Below are 14,150 nucleotides of genomic sequence, written 5' to 3'. Positions count from 1 at the left end.
GGCCTTCATAAGGCCCAGAAATTAAATTTCTGCTCTTATTATAAACCCCACAGGTTAATGCTTCTTCATGGTTTCAATAAGATAAAGAGCACACTAACCATAGGGTCTGACCCAAAGGCAAGGTATTTACCACCTCTTTAAGAAAACTCGCCAGTTGAAAGAGCTTATGATCAGAGGTGAAAAAACGGCCCTTGTTGATCTATGTGTCCTGTGGGGAGTCAGGTGGTGCTGCCCAGAGAACCTACCTGGTTCTCTGAACCAGGTTATCAGGGCAAGGGGGGTGCAGATGGGGCAGATGTCTTGAAATTGGAAGTTTCCAGACTGTGCAGAATGTAAAGATGCCGTAGTGAGAGACAGAGAAGCCAAAGATCCTCTCAATCTCTTGCTTTGGTTCACAAACCAACCCCAGCTCCATGGATTTTTTTGTTTTGTTTTGTTTTTTGAGATGGAGTCTTGCTCTGTCACCCAGGCTGGAGTGCAGTGGTGCAATCTTGGCTCACTGCAACCTCCACCTCCTGGGTTCAAGCGATTCTCCTGCCTCACCCTCCGAGTAACTGGGATTACAGGTGTGTGCCACCATGCCCGGCTAATTTTTTGTGTTTTTAGTAGAGATGGGGTTTCACCATGTTGGCTAGGCTGGTCTTCAACTCCTGACCTCAAGTGATCCACCCGCTTCAGCCTCCCAAAGTGCTGGGATTACAGGCGTGAGCCACCGCACCTGGCCTAGCTACATGCTTCTAAGCAGAGCCCTGGGAATGAGCAAGCGTGAGCCTTTCTTGTACCTTAAGCTGCAGAGGCTTAAGGTGCAGCCTTTGACGGGAGGGGACCTTCATCAAAGAGGAAACAAACCCTGCTGCTTTATTATTCGCCAAGCCTGGAATGTTTTTAGCAAATACGTGTTTGTGTCCTTCTCAGCATTGCTGGTTCACACTGAGGCCATTTGTTGCTCATAAACACTAGATGAAGCAAAAATACTTGTTTACACTTAAGACTGCTTTTATCTTTCCTTACTGCTGAATAGTAATTTTTTACTAGATTGTCTTGGTTCTGTGCAGCTGGTTCCTTATGTCTGTGCTCATATCCGTATACCTTGTCCAAATAAACATACTTGAAAACATAGAGAATTGTGTTTTGTGAAGTTTAGAACATCCTCTAACAGAGTTTAAGCTGAGCTTTCTGCTTTGTTTTGGCAACTTGTTTAGGATGCCAAATGTATCTGGTCTGGCAACAGATGAAAGAAGATGTTGGCCCTTATATAACGAAGTTTAGGGAATAAGTGGGGGGTGGGGTGGATTGCCAGGTTTCCTTTGTGGTTTGAAAAGAGTTCTAAAGCATGAGGAAAACATGTGTTCGACTGGGTTTTTGTTTTGCCTTTAAACCTTGGAATTTTGAAAATCTGTTGAAATATCTTCTCCTGGCTTATGCAGCCCTCTGAGATTAAGTTTCTGATTACCTACATCTTCCCTCCTCTTTCATTCCAGCCCTGCTAGCCTTCTTTCTGCCCCTCAAGCACAGACACTGTCCATCTCTGGGCTTTCACTGCTCCCTGAGCCTGGCACATTCTTCCTCCAGATCTTGGCTTCCTTCTCATTATTCAACCTGCCTCTTTTGACTTGGAGAGGTATCCTCTAATCACCTAGCTAAAGTTGCTTCCACCTGCCCAACCCCTAGGCCATCTTCTCTCCCCTGGTTCTGTTTTAGGTTCTTCATGGCACTGTTCCCCGACTATCTGGAATTCTTATCTGCTTGTATCCATGTCTAGTATCTGTCACTCATTGCAAGAATGTATGCTTATGACAGGTACTATCATATCCCCGAAACTAAAACATCATCTGATAGAAGGTTGGTGCCCAATAAGAGGATGAGTGGATGGATAGAAGGATGGATGAATGGGAGGGAAAAGGAGAGGGAAGGAAGGAAAGAAGGAGCGGGGAAAGGAGGGGGGTTGACTACCGAGTAAATTTCTACTCTCTTTTAAGTCTAAGAGCTTCTCTCCTGTGATTCCTCTTTGACTCCCCAAGACAGTAGCCTTGGAGAATTTTCTCCCCACACCCACCTCACTTTGTACATTACACTAACCATCTTATCCAGTTACAGTCACCTGTTTGCTAAGCTCTGCATACTAAGCTCTTGAGGACAGGAATGTGTAATAAAGGTGGTTATGGTTGTAATTATTGTTTGTTCTTATTGCCTTAGCACTTTATAAGCATACTTCATCAAAGTCCTTTCATCAACTCTATGGCTTGAGTATGACTCTCATCTTTGTTTTGCAAGTAAGTAAACTGAGGCCCAGAGCAGTTGCCGAAAGGCGTACAGATGATTACTGCAGGGCCAGGAATTGAATACAGATTTCTTCTTGGTAGCGCAGATTATACAGCCTTTCTTTCCTCCTCATCAGGTGTCCAGTGCCTGACCCACAGGTTCATCACAGGCTTTTGCCAAATGAATGAAACCTAAGACCTCACCTCCTCCCTTCTCATCCCTATTATTTGAGCTTATACATATTATTTATACTATTTATAAACATAAACATGAGCCTATCAGTTCATAATCCAGTGACATCTCTAAGGATAACTAGCTGCTGTATCTTAAGTCACTTATTTTTATTGTTTTTTTAGAAACAGGGTCTCACTCTGTTGTCCAGACTGGAGCACAGTGGCACAGTCATAACTTACTGCAGCCTCAAACTCCTGGGCTCCAGAGATTCCCTGCCTCAGTCTCCTGAGTCCCGGGACTACAGGTGCATGCCATCATGCCCAGCTAATTTTTTTTTATTATTATTTTTTAGAGACAGGGTCTCACTATGTTGCCCAGGCTGCTCTCTTAACTCCTGGCCTCAAGTGGTCCTCCTGCCTTGGCCTCCTGAAGTGCTGGGATTACAGGCATGAAGCACCACACCCAGCCTACGTCATTTTTCTTTCTTTCTTTTTTTTCTTTTTTTAACCGATAGGACGTCATTGATTGCTTAAACCCTCTCATTCTTCTTATGTAAACAAATCTATTAGTCAAAAGTTAAGCAGCTGCTGAGTCACATGGCACTTTAATCCAGGGTTACAATTGGCAGCCCTGGGAATGAGTTCTCCTTTTTTTAGCTCCCACGATGGCACTGATTTCCCCTAGAATATGAAACTTACACCAAGGAAACCACCATGACAACTGTAGGTAGCAATTTCAAGCAGAAAAGACTAGGAAAATGCCTAAGAATTTTAAACCTGACAGAGTTCTTCTACATTTTTAATATAACCAAGTGCTGTTCATCACCTGCCTTGACACCGGTGTTTGTGAGGTTGATTGGCCCCAGGATGTTCCACTGCAGAACAGAAGGCCAAGATCAGAAGCCCTTGTCGACATATAAATGTAATGCTGTAAGCTGGCTTGGAGCTGTGACTCCATGGAGCCAATTCTAAAATGATTAAGACTTCTGTCTATAGAGAGTTGAGGTGGAGACTGTTTACTATGGCCCTGCCCAGAGGCTTCAGCAGCTGAGGGTGTACCCTCTGCAGTGGGAGTCTTCAGGCATGAGCCTGAAGCCTGTGCTGGCCTCTAGGGATGGAGTCCCTTGTTGTCTTACAGCTTGAATTTTCCAGCACAGGACAACTCCAGATGACAGCTCCAACAGGGCAGAGGCTGCAGCCTTGCCAGACTGGTCCGTCAAAGCTTTCCTTGGCACATAATCCAGTTTCACCCAGGTTTGGGGGTAACCCAGCTGGTTCCTTTTTTCCTGGGTTGGTGGTGAGCTAAGCAGGGAGGTAGTACCCACAGGTTATTTATGGATGTCAAAAACTCAAAAGGCCCTCAGCACTGGGGGTAGGACCAGTGAGAAGTGCTCAACCATGGCATGTATGAGGGATCTGTGGGCGAACCCTGATGTGTCATTTGGCTCCTCTATCCATCACAAAGAGCAGGGACCCCTGAACCCTTTAACCATCCCTGAGCAAGATTGGAGGGATTTTTGCCCTTTTAATACAACTTCTTAAATGGCCTGATGGCCTTGGATGTACTCATTAATAAATATGTCTTGTGGTTTGCAATTTAACTGTCTGTGTGATGAGGATATTGGAAAGGAGTTTCTGACTGATTCATTGTTCACACTTGCCTCTCCCAGCCGAGGGATAATTGGGGCCTTGCCTAATCTGCACTCGCTCACACCCAACATGTGCTGGGCGGGGAAAAAAGGCTGCAACCTGGCCGGCTGGTTCCCGGACCTGGCCTTGCACCAACCAGGAAGATCTCTTCTCTACCTCCTTTTCTGTGTTCAAGGTGATACCTGCTTAGGACTCCCAGAAATATCATTAGCAGGAAAGTTCCACAGATTTAATCTAGTCTAAACCTCTGAGAGTTGAGGACACTGAGACCCAGAAAACCTGAGTGATTTTCCTAGGAACACACAGCCCATTGGTTAGTAAGGCAAAAGTAGACCTCAGAGCAGCTCAGTGCTTCTCTATCCCCTCTGCACCTCCCCCAGGCTGCCTCTTGAACTACTTCTCTGCTTGCTGTACAAACCAAAGCTATCTTTCAAAGTCTTTTGGAATATTAAAGCCATTACAGGGAGGCAGGGTGTGTGGGGATTGAGTAGATATTCAAAAGATTTTTGCTCAAACCTTTATTTCACTTTGTTTTTAAACAACTTCCCTTTCCCATGCCTATGGAGCTTTTCTTGTCTCATCCTAAAAACTCCCAAGTTCCCACCTGCTTCTAGGAAGATTGTTGATGATTGTCCAGGCATCCCCTGCCACTGTCTGAGCAGACAACTTCTAAAAGTTTTTTTTTTTAAGTAGTGTGAGCTCATCGTAAATAAATAAATGAATAACTGAGTAAGTACACTTGTTTGTACTTCTCTGAATCACATGTAATGGGCCAGATAGTACATATTTTCAGCCTTGTGGACTATGCTGTCTCTGTCTCAGCTACGTATGGGCTAAAGCAGACCTAGAGACTATGTAAATGAACAGACATGGTTCTGTTCCAATAAAGCTTTATTTACAAAAAACAGGTAGTGGGCCAGGTTTCACCTATGGGCTGCCAATCTTGGTATCAGGTAAAAAGTAAACATTCTCCACTTACTCCCTAAGCTTTATTGGCACAGGACCACGTCTGTTCATTTACATAGTCTCTAGGTCTGCTTTAGCCCATACCAGCCTTGAGTAGCTGAGACAGAGACAGCGTAGTCCACAAAGCTGAAAATATGTACTATCTGGCCCATTGCATGTGGTTCAGAGAAGTACAAAGAAGTGTACTTATTCAGTTATTTATTTACAATAAGCTCACATTACTTTAAAAAAACCCACTCCCAGAGGTAGCTATTGTTGAGAGTTGGGTCTATAGTGTCACTGGCATGCAGATACTTACAAATACGGGGTTGGATCATGTAAATTTTTTCATATAGGATGTAGAGTTCTGTATCTTGCTTTGCTCCTGTTTCTTGCACATAGATACCTGTGGGAGGGCATGTATTCTTTTATACAAATAGGACCGTTTTATGCATGTTGTTCTACAATTTCCTTCACTTGGCAGTAACTCAGTGTTGATGCTTATAGGATGATGACATTCTTTTTAATGACCACATAGTGGTAAAATCCTTTACCATACACTAAGAAAACATGACAAATACCAAAAAAAAAAAGTATGTGTGTAAATAACTACCAGCAGACACAGATGATGTCTTGTTCGTCTCACATGGTCCCATGTGTCTGGTGGGCACATCCACGGGGATCCATGTCAGCCCGTGCAGCGTTACTATGTTTCCAAAGGGGGTTTTGTTTCAGCCTAACTTTCTGCCAGCACAGCACCACATACAGGTGACGAGCTAATAAAAGATTTGCATGATGAGGAAGGTTTCAGACAAACTTTAGCTTCAACATTGTGGTTGATTATGAGGCAATTTCTGTGAAATCCTAAAAATCCCAAGTTTTTTGTCCTGCTGTGAACACAGTTTATCGCAAAAAAGTACAGACCCACATTGTACTGTGGCCCCCCTCCCCGCCCTTTAAAGTATGCGCTGTCGTTGATGCCTTGAATTCGTTCCTAAGGATATCATAGATCACCACAAACTTGGCAGCTCAAACATGACAGAAATGTATTCTGTCACATTTCTGGAGGCCTGAAGTTTGAAATCAAAGTGTTGTCGGTGTGGAGTGGGGGTTCTTCTGGGGGCTCTGCTGGAGGGTCTGCTTCATCCTGTCCCCTGGCTTCCAGTGCTGCAGCATCCTTGGTGCTGCGTGGCTTGGAGCTGCATCGCTCCAGTCTCTGCCTTCATCTTCATGTGGGTCCAGCTTGCCCTCTTGGTCAGTTTCCTTGTCTTGTCTGGTCCCGTCCTGTCCTGTATTTTGTAAAGACTTGTCATTGGATTCAGGGCCCACCTGAATCCAGGATGGCCTTCTCTCAACACCCTTACCTTAATTACATCTGCAAAGCAGGTTGGACATATCTTTGGGGGACCACAGTTCAACTCAGCCCATGCCCTCCCATCTAAAAATCGGAGTGCTTGCTCTTCCCTCTCAGGTTTTTCCTCCTGGAGGTGAGGAAAGGGGCAAAAGCCTTGTTCTTGTCGTAATCAACAGCCCTGCTCTTTGAGGATAAAAAGCAACAACAAAAAAAAACGGAGTCCCAAGGAATGGCATCTACTATTAGTTAATCGCAGGTCCCAGAAAAGCACCAGCCAGAACTGCAAGTCTTCTAGGAAATTTCTTACTGAATTCAGCAAAATAAGAGGCTAATGAGAAGAGTGTTTGCATATCTGATAGTCTAACTGAAAGGAAACAGAGGAAGAAAAATGTGCTTTTGTAAGCCCTGAGAGTTTTAGCTGAATGGCAGCCTTTCCCTGTGATTAACTGGCATTAATTATTGTTTCAAAGAGTTTCCAAGGTTGACTGAATCCAGTGTGAAGCTCACAAAACCAACACCATCTATTTGTTTTATTTCTCAGGAGAAAGTTATATTAATGCAAAAATAAAGAATTGTGGCTGGGTTTGTGATCTGTTTTCAATAGTTTCTTTAAGGAAGCAGCTGTTTTTTGTGTTGCACAGGGTACTTGGATGCGAAACAGTTTTTGTTGTTTTGGCTTTTTTTGGAGACAGAGTCTTGCTCTGTCACCCAGGCTGGAGTGCAGTGATGCGATCTCGGCTCACTGCAACCTCTGTCTCCCCAGTTCAAGCTGTTCTCCTGCCTCAGCCTCCCTAGTAGCTGTGATTACAGCCACACACTACCATGGTTGGCTAATTTTTGTATTTTTAGTAGAGACAGGGTTTTGCCACGTTGACCAGGCTTGTCTTAAACTCCTGGCCTCAAGTGATCTGCCTGCCTTGGCCTCCCAAAGTGCTGGGATTACAGGTGTGAGCCACCACACCTGGCCGCAAAACATTTTTTATGTTTAAAATTGATACCTGCTCACCTCACTCCCTTAGACAATGTTTAAAATTGATACCTGCTCACCTCACTCCCTTAGACAATGTTTAAAATTGATACCTTGCTCACCTCACTCCCTTAGACAATGTTTAAAATTGATACCTGCTCACCTCACTCCCTTAGACAATGGCTTTGGTCGCAAGGGACAGAAACTCACCTCAAACCAGCTGTATTTTGGAGCCAGCATAACAAAGCACCACTACTTGGATGTTTTAAAAAAGACAAATTTAATTTCCAACAGCTCTGGAGGCTGGTGAAATCAAGGTGTGGGTAGAGCCATGTCCTCTCTGAGCCGGTAGAGGAAGATTTACCCTGGCCTCTTCCAGCTTCTGGCCTCTTCCAGCTTCCTTGCTTATGGCAACAAAACACCAACCTCTGCCTCTGTTTTTGCTTAGAGTTCTCCTTGTCTGTCTCCCTCCCTCTTCTGTTCTTATAAGGACATCAGTCATAGTGGATTAACAGCCCAACCTATTCCAGTATGAGCTCATTCCAACTAATTAACATCTGCAACAACCCTATTTCCAAATAAGGTCACACCCTGAGGTATTGGGAGTTAGGGCTTGAACATATCTTTTTGGGGGACACAAGTCAACCAGTAACATCAGCTGAAGCAGAAAAGAGGCTCACATAGCCAAGCCGCTGGAGGGGACAGGGCCTTAGATGTCATTAGCATCCCGTCAGCTCTGTCTGCTTATCTGTGTGTGTCATTCACACTCACGAACTCACTCTGCATGAAAAGCATAAGGCTGCAGCTCAGGGATTCTCAACCATGGTGGAAAGGGCTCTTGTACCCCCAGCTCACATCCTGAAGTCCCAGGAAGAGATTCCATCGGAATGTCACCTCTCCAGCTCTAGACCATTCACTGTGGCCAGGGAGAGGGTCACGGGAGGGAATGGCAGCTTCCACATCTGGATTTGGGGAAAGATCCCACTGCCGCACACCAAAAGCAGGGTAGCCTTGACATGGCCGCTGCGGGAATTGTGAGCTCAGGGTAGCTGGCCCAATTTGTGTGAATCTCAGAACTAACCTAATTCGAATGCAGCATTGCAGTCACGTGTCACTTAAATGACCCTTGTCATGACTTACCTTTAATGTGATTTTATGCACGCGCTCCTTCTCACCCATCCCCTGCTGCATTGACCTGGACTAAACTGCTTTCAGGTTCTGGGAGATCTCCTCAGAAGTTGTGTTAGATTTTTCATTTCTCTGGAAGGTCAGTGCATTTGCATTTGGGCAGAAACTCATGGTGACTATACTAATAATTTAATCTTTAGTCTCAAAGGACACCATGGTGGGTAGGTCTCAATGACAGGCGCTTTTCCTCTCTTTTTTAGTTTTCAATCTGAAGCTTTTAAACTTCCAAAAAGAATCACAGTAGTGTAGAAATAGTCTTAACTTCTGCTAAATGGCCTGTGGGAGGCCTGCTTCCTGTACTTTGAATACCTTTTCATAGGTTTTCATGCAGTCTGCAAGAAAAGACAGTTTTATTTCAACTATAAAAATTAATTCAGGTTGAGAGTGGTGGCCACGCCTGTAATCCCAACACTTTGGGAGATCAAGGCAGGAGGATCACTTGAGCCGAGGAGCTTGAGACCAGCCTGGGAAACATAGGGAGACCCTGTCTCTACAAAAAAAATTTTTTTAAATTAGTTGGGTATGGTGGCACATGCATCTGTAGACCCAACTACTTGGGAGGCTGAGGTGGGAGGATCACTGAGCCCGGGTGGTCGAGTCTGCAGTGAGCTGTGATCACGCCACTGCATTCCAGCCTGGGCAACATAGTGAGACCCTGTCTCACAAAAGCAATAATTCAAAGGAATGACTGCAGAAATTACAAAAACAGCTGATAATTCAGAATGCTCATTTCACTTTATTTTTTTTTTTTTTTTGAGACAGAGTCTCGCTCTGTCACCCAGCTGGAGTGCAGTGGTGCGATCTTGGCTCACCGCAATCTCCGGCTCCCCTTTCCCCCTCCCATTCAAGTGATCCGCCCACCTTGGCCTTCCAAAGTGTTAGGATTACAGGCGTGAGCCACTGCACCCGGCCTCATTTCACTTAATTATGTTTGCTTCCAGCTAGTATCGGAAAGCAACTTTTTTATTCTGTGAGTCTTAGGTGAGCAGCAGTAGAGAAACTTACCTGAGATAACTAATCTGTAGATCCTAAAAGTGATGCTTGTGGAGCCTGTAGGACAGATGCAGTTATTCCTTGAGTATAGTCATTGAGTGATGGTGTCATGTGAAAACTTTGCAGGCTTGGATGATATTTTCAGGAGTATATGTATCTTGGAAATTTGCAGTATGACCCAAACTTGGCACATCTTAATAGTCAATAAGAATTTGCAGGGGCACTAAATCCTTGCTATCTCTCTGGCAAAAGATAGATTTCTTGGTAGTGTTGGCATCGACACCTTTCATGGAAAAATCGATTGCTTGTATCTACTAGCTCTGTGCTAGACAGGAAGCACTAAGAATTCATTTGGTGGTTCTTTCATTCCTGGCTTATGAGGGATACCCTTTGCTCCTACCCGCCACCAAGGTGAATTCACCTTGACCCTGAGCATACCAGCACACAGACCAAGTTGGGCTTTGATTGCTGGTCATTTACAATAGGTTAGAAAGGGGTGAGCTGAAGCATGTCGACTAGATGAAATTGCCACAGTGTGGTATTAACCTGCTCAGGATAAATTGAGTGTGAAATTGTTACTGCCGGATGTTGCTTGCCAGTGGGGTTTCTTTTTTTTTATTTTCTTTTATGTGATAAATGTTTTTGCTTGATTTAAGAGGTGGTAGAATACTGGCTGTTACTGAAATGAAGCTAATTTCTTCCTGTTCTGAGCCATTATAGCATATCTTGCGGACATTTGAAACACATTTTTCTCCTAAGATAGCTGCATTTCTGAATGAAGAACTGATATGCTTTCTTTCTAAATTCATCACATTTCTTTCTAAATTCATCACGTTTATCAGTTAAATGTACAAGGGGTAAGAAATGAATTTTCAGCAGATTGTTGTACCTGAAAAATTACACAGAAAAGTAACTTTAGGTGAGAAAGTATCTGGTAAGTTTCTCAAAGGTTTAGGTTTTCTGGGTCTGGTTTGGTTTGGTTTGCTGGGGAAAGGGAGGATGGATGGAGGAGGATGGATGGAGAGTACAGGTGACTGTCTTCTTGACTATAGTGTAAGTGATAGGAAAAAACTCTCGAGTTTTGGTATATAAGTAATAAAAGCAAAATTCGGCTTGCTTGCTTGCTTTCTCTCTTTCTTTCTCTCTTTCTTTCCTTCCTTCCTTCCTTCCTTCCTTCCTTCCTTCCTTCCTTCCTTCCTTCCTTCTTTCCTTCCTTCCTTCCTTCCTTCCTTCTATCTGATGGAGTCTCACTCTGTCACCCAGGCTGGAATGCAGTGGCACGATCTCGGCTCACCGCAACCTCCACTTCCTGGGTTCAAGCGATTCTCCTGCCTCAGCCTCCTGAGTAGCTGGGATTCTGGGTGCACACCACCACACCCAGCTAATTTTTGTATTTGTAATAGAGACAGGGTTTCATCATGTTGCCCAGGCTGGTCTTGAACTCCTGACCTCAAGTGATCCGTCCTCCTCGGCCTCCTAAAGTGCTGGGATTACAGGCGTGAGCCACCACACCTGGCCTGGATTCTGCTATCCTTCTAATCCCAATTTACAAGTTATATCTTCCGTGAAGTCCTGCCTGACCCCTTGAATTATAGTTAGACATTGTCCCTTCCTCTGGATTCAGAAGCAGGATCTTTCACTCAATGAATGTCTATTGTCCACTTACTATTTGCACACTTCGAGAATGCAAAGATGAATAAGGTTCCTACGTAAAGCCTTTTGGCTTCTCTGCAGACTGGTCCCCAGAGGAATCAGCATGTCACGAGTGAATAAGAGGTACTCCGTGAGTGCACATTGCATTGGATTGTAACACATTTTCTTTCCCCAGTTCGCTAATTTCAGCCCTTTTTACGCACAGGAAAAAAACATCCTTTTGTTTGGGCTCCTGTCTTTAATAGACCCATTACTTTTGGAATAAGCAGCTTCCCCCCAGGAAAGTTCACCTGAGTCATCTTGTGCTCAGCACGACTGGCCTGCAGCAAGGAAGTGGTACCAAGCAGCTTTACTGTCCTAATTGGACAGAAGGAAATTGACTTGTCTTGGATGGGGATTATCCAGGTCTTTCTGCTCCAGGAAGACACTGAGAGAGCATCTGTCCACCTGAGATTGTTTGTTGATGAGAAAGTGATGCCACCGTGTTCAAGTTTGAGGGAACTGCAGAGCAAGACCTTCTGGGTCCACAGGAAAGAGAGGTCTTTAAACTTAATGATGCTCCGAACAGCTGGAAGGGGAAACTGGAGAATATGGACAGTTGGCTTTTCTGCTGAGAGTTGAGACTAGTCTCTACAGATGACCTGTTTGATGCAAACTGAAAGAATTAGAACAAGTCTTTGCCAAAATATACACTGGGAACAAAATGATAGGAAATGGGACTTTTCTAGAAAGACATGAGAAGGGGCCAGGTGTGGTGGCTCACGCCTGTAATCCCAGCACTTAGGGAGGCTGAGGCGGGTGGATCACTTGAGGTCAGGAGTTTGAGACAGCCTGGCCAACATGATGAAACTCTGTCTCTACTGAAAATACAAAAATTAGCTGGGTGTGGTGGTGCATGCCTGTAGTCCCAGCTACTCAGGAGGCTGAGGCATGAGAATCACTTGAACCTAGGAGGTGGAGGTTGCAGTGAGCCGACACTGCACCACTGCACTCCAGCCTGGGTGACAGAGCAAGACTCTGTCTCAAAAAAAAATTTTTTTAAAGAGGTGAGAAGGGTATAAAAAAAATTAAAATGAAAAACATTGCTTAGAATAGAATAAAATCTCGTGGATTCAGCAATACATCTTGCTCTTAAATATTTGTTCTGCCATTGTTCTGTGACGTTAGAATTTTCCTCAGTGATAAACTTACATTTTTTGTATACTAGTTTGAGGTATAATTGATTCTATAAACAAGAATTTAACATTTCATTCTTGTACTATGTTAACTGATTATATAATTATACTTATAATGTGCGATTATAAAAAGACAACCCCTACCTTAATGGAACTTAAACTTTAGTGGAAGACTTCAAAGATATTGATAAGTTCAAGGCACTACCTTAACAGAATAAATAAATGCTGTAGGAGCACAGAGGAGGGAGGGAACACACTCAGCTAAGACTGAAAAGACCCTGTGGCAGGGCACAATGGCTCAGGCCTGTAATCCCAGCACTTTGGGAGACTGAGGCGGGTGATCCCTTGAGCCCAGGAGTTTGAGACCAGCCTGGGCAACATGGTGAAACCCCATCTCTAATAAAAATACAAAAAGTTAGCTGGGAATGGTGGTGCATGCCTATAGTCCCAGCTACTCAAGAGACTAAGATGGGAGGATCACCTGAGCCCAGGAAGTCAAGGCTACAGTGAACCAAGATCGCATCACTGCATTCCACCCTGGGTAATGGGAGTGAGACCTTGTCTCAAAAAAAAAAATAATAAAATAAAATAAAAATAAAATCCCTAGAGAAGGTAGCAGTAGAAGCTTGGAGCATTGGTATTTTGTTATATGAAATAGACTATTTTATACAAAAAAATACCTAATATGTGTTCAACGCCCATTAGACTCTGGAAATACAAAAAATGAATGAGACAATGTCCTTGTTCCCAAGAAATTAAAGTCTAGTGGGGAAAAATCTGCTAGGTAGCCAGCAGTTATAATTCATTGCATTATATAAATGGCATGTGCTTTATATGAATATATAAATGTATATTCAAGTCAAGAAATACATGCAAATCAAAGAAAATGCCTAAGTCCAGGGGAGCTGGAGAAGGCTCATTTCAGTCTAGAAGTTTTCAACCTGGGCTACACCTTGCAATCACTTTCTCTAGAGGGGCCCCAGGCAACTATACTTTTTTAAAACTACCCTGTTGATTCTAATGCACAGAGAAGTTTGAGAGTAGCTTCTCTCAGGAAATTTAAGATGTGGGAAGGTATAGGCAGTGATATGGTTTGGCTGTGTCCCCACCCAAATCTCATCTTGAATTGTAGCTCCCATAATTCCCACATGTCATGGGAGGGACCTGGTGGAAGGTAGTTGAATCATGGGGGTGGGTCTTTTCCATGCTGTTCTCGTGGTAGTGAATAAGTCTCACAAAATCTGATGGTTTTATAAATGGGAGTTCCCCTGCACAAGTTCTCTTGCTGGCCGCCATGTAAGACGTCCCTTTGCTCTTTCTTCATCTTCCGCCATGATTGTGAGGCCTCCCCGTGTCAGCCATGTGGAACTGTGAGTCCATTCAACCTCTTTCCTTTATAAATGACCTAGTCTCAGCTATGTCTTTATTGGCAGTGTGAGAACGGACTAATACAGGCAGGTTAACATATTTGAGGCTGACGCAGAGCCCACATGGCCAAGGCATGGATGAGGGTGTGGATACCAGGTAGGCAATGAAACTGGACAGGTAGATTGAGACCAGACTGCAGAGGGTATTGAATGCCAAGGTTAGAAAACTTAACTTTTTTCAGTAGGCAATGGGAAGACATTCAGGTCTTTTTATCCAGAGTATTGTGATCTACATCATATTTAATAAAAATTAGCCTGGTGTTCAGAATGCACATCTTTGGGAGGGAGGGAGAGGAAGAGGTTGTGGCTTGTGGTCCAAGTGAGGCCCCGAGGCAGAGGAACCTCAAAGGATTGGGAAGAACA

General features: G+C 44.0%; 1 protein-coding gene across 56 annotated transcripts in view, besides 1 other annotated feature; it reads left to right on the top strand.

The window, feature by feature from the left end:
- The window catches only part of ABLIM1 (actin binding LIM protein 1), a 370,264-nt gene that overhangs the window by 277,781 nt on the left and 78,333 nt on the right, over positions 1-14,150 (top strand).
- Positions 4,166-4,685: an enhancer, noted in NCBI's record as "H3K4me1 hESC enhancer chr10:116278667-116279186 (GRCh37/hg19 assembly coordinates)". NCBI's record gives its function as "activates a minimal SCP1, AML or CMV promoter by ChIP-STARR-seq in naive H9 embryonic stem cells {active_cell/tissue: H9 hESC(naive)}" and the evidence as "EXISTENCE:reporter gene assay evidence [ECO:0000049][PMID:30033119]".

The sequence above is a fragment of the Homo sapiens genome, chromosome 10 (assembly GCF_000001405.40).
Source record: "Homo sapiens chromosome 10, GRCh38.p14 Primary Assembly".
NCBI lineage: Eukaryota > Metazoa > Chordata > Mammalia > Primates > Hominidae > Homo > Homo sapiens.
Note: the sequence above shows the minus strand (reverse complement) of the source record. Positions and strands in the feature narration are given on the sequence as shown.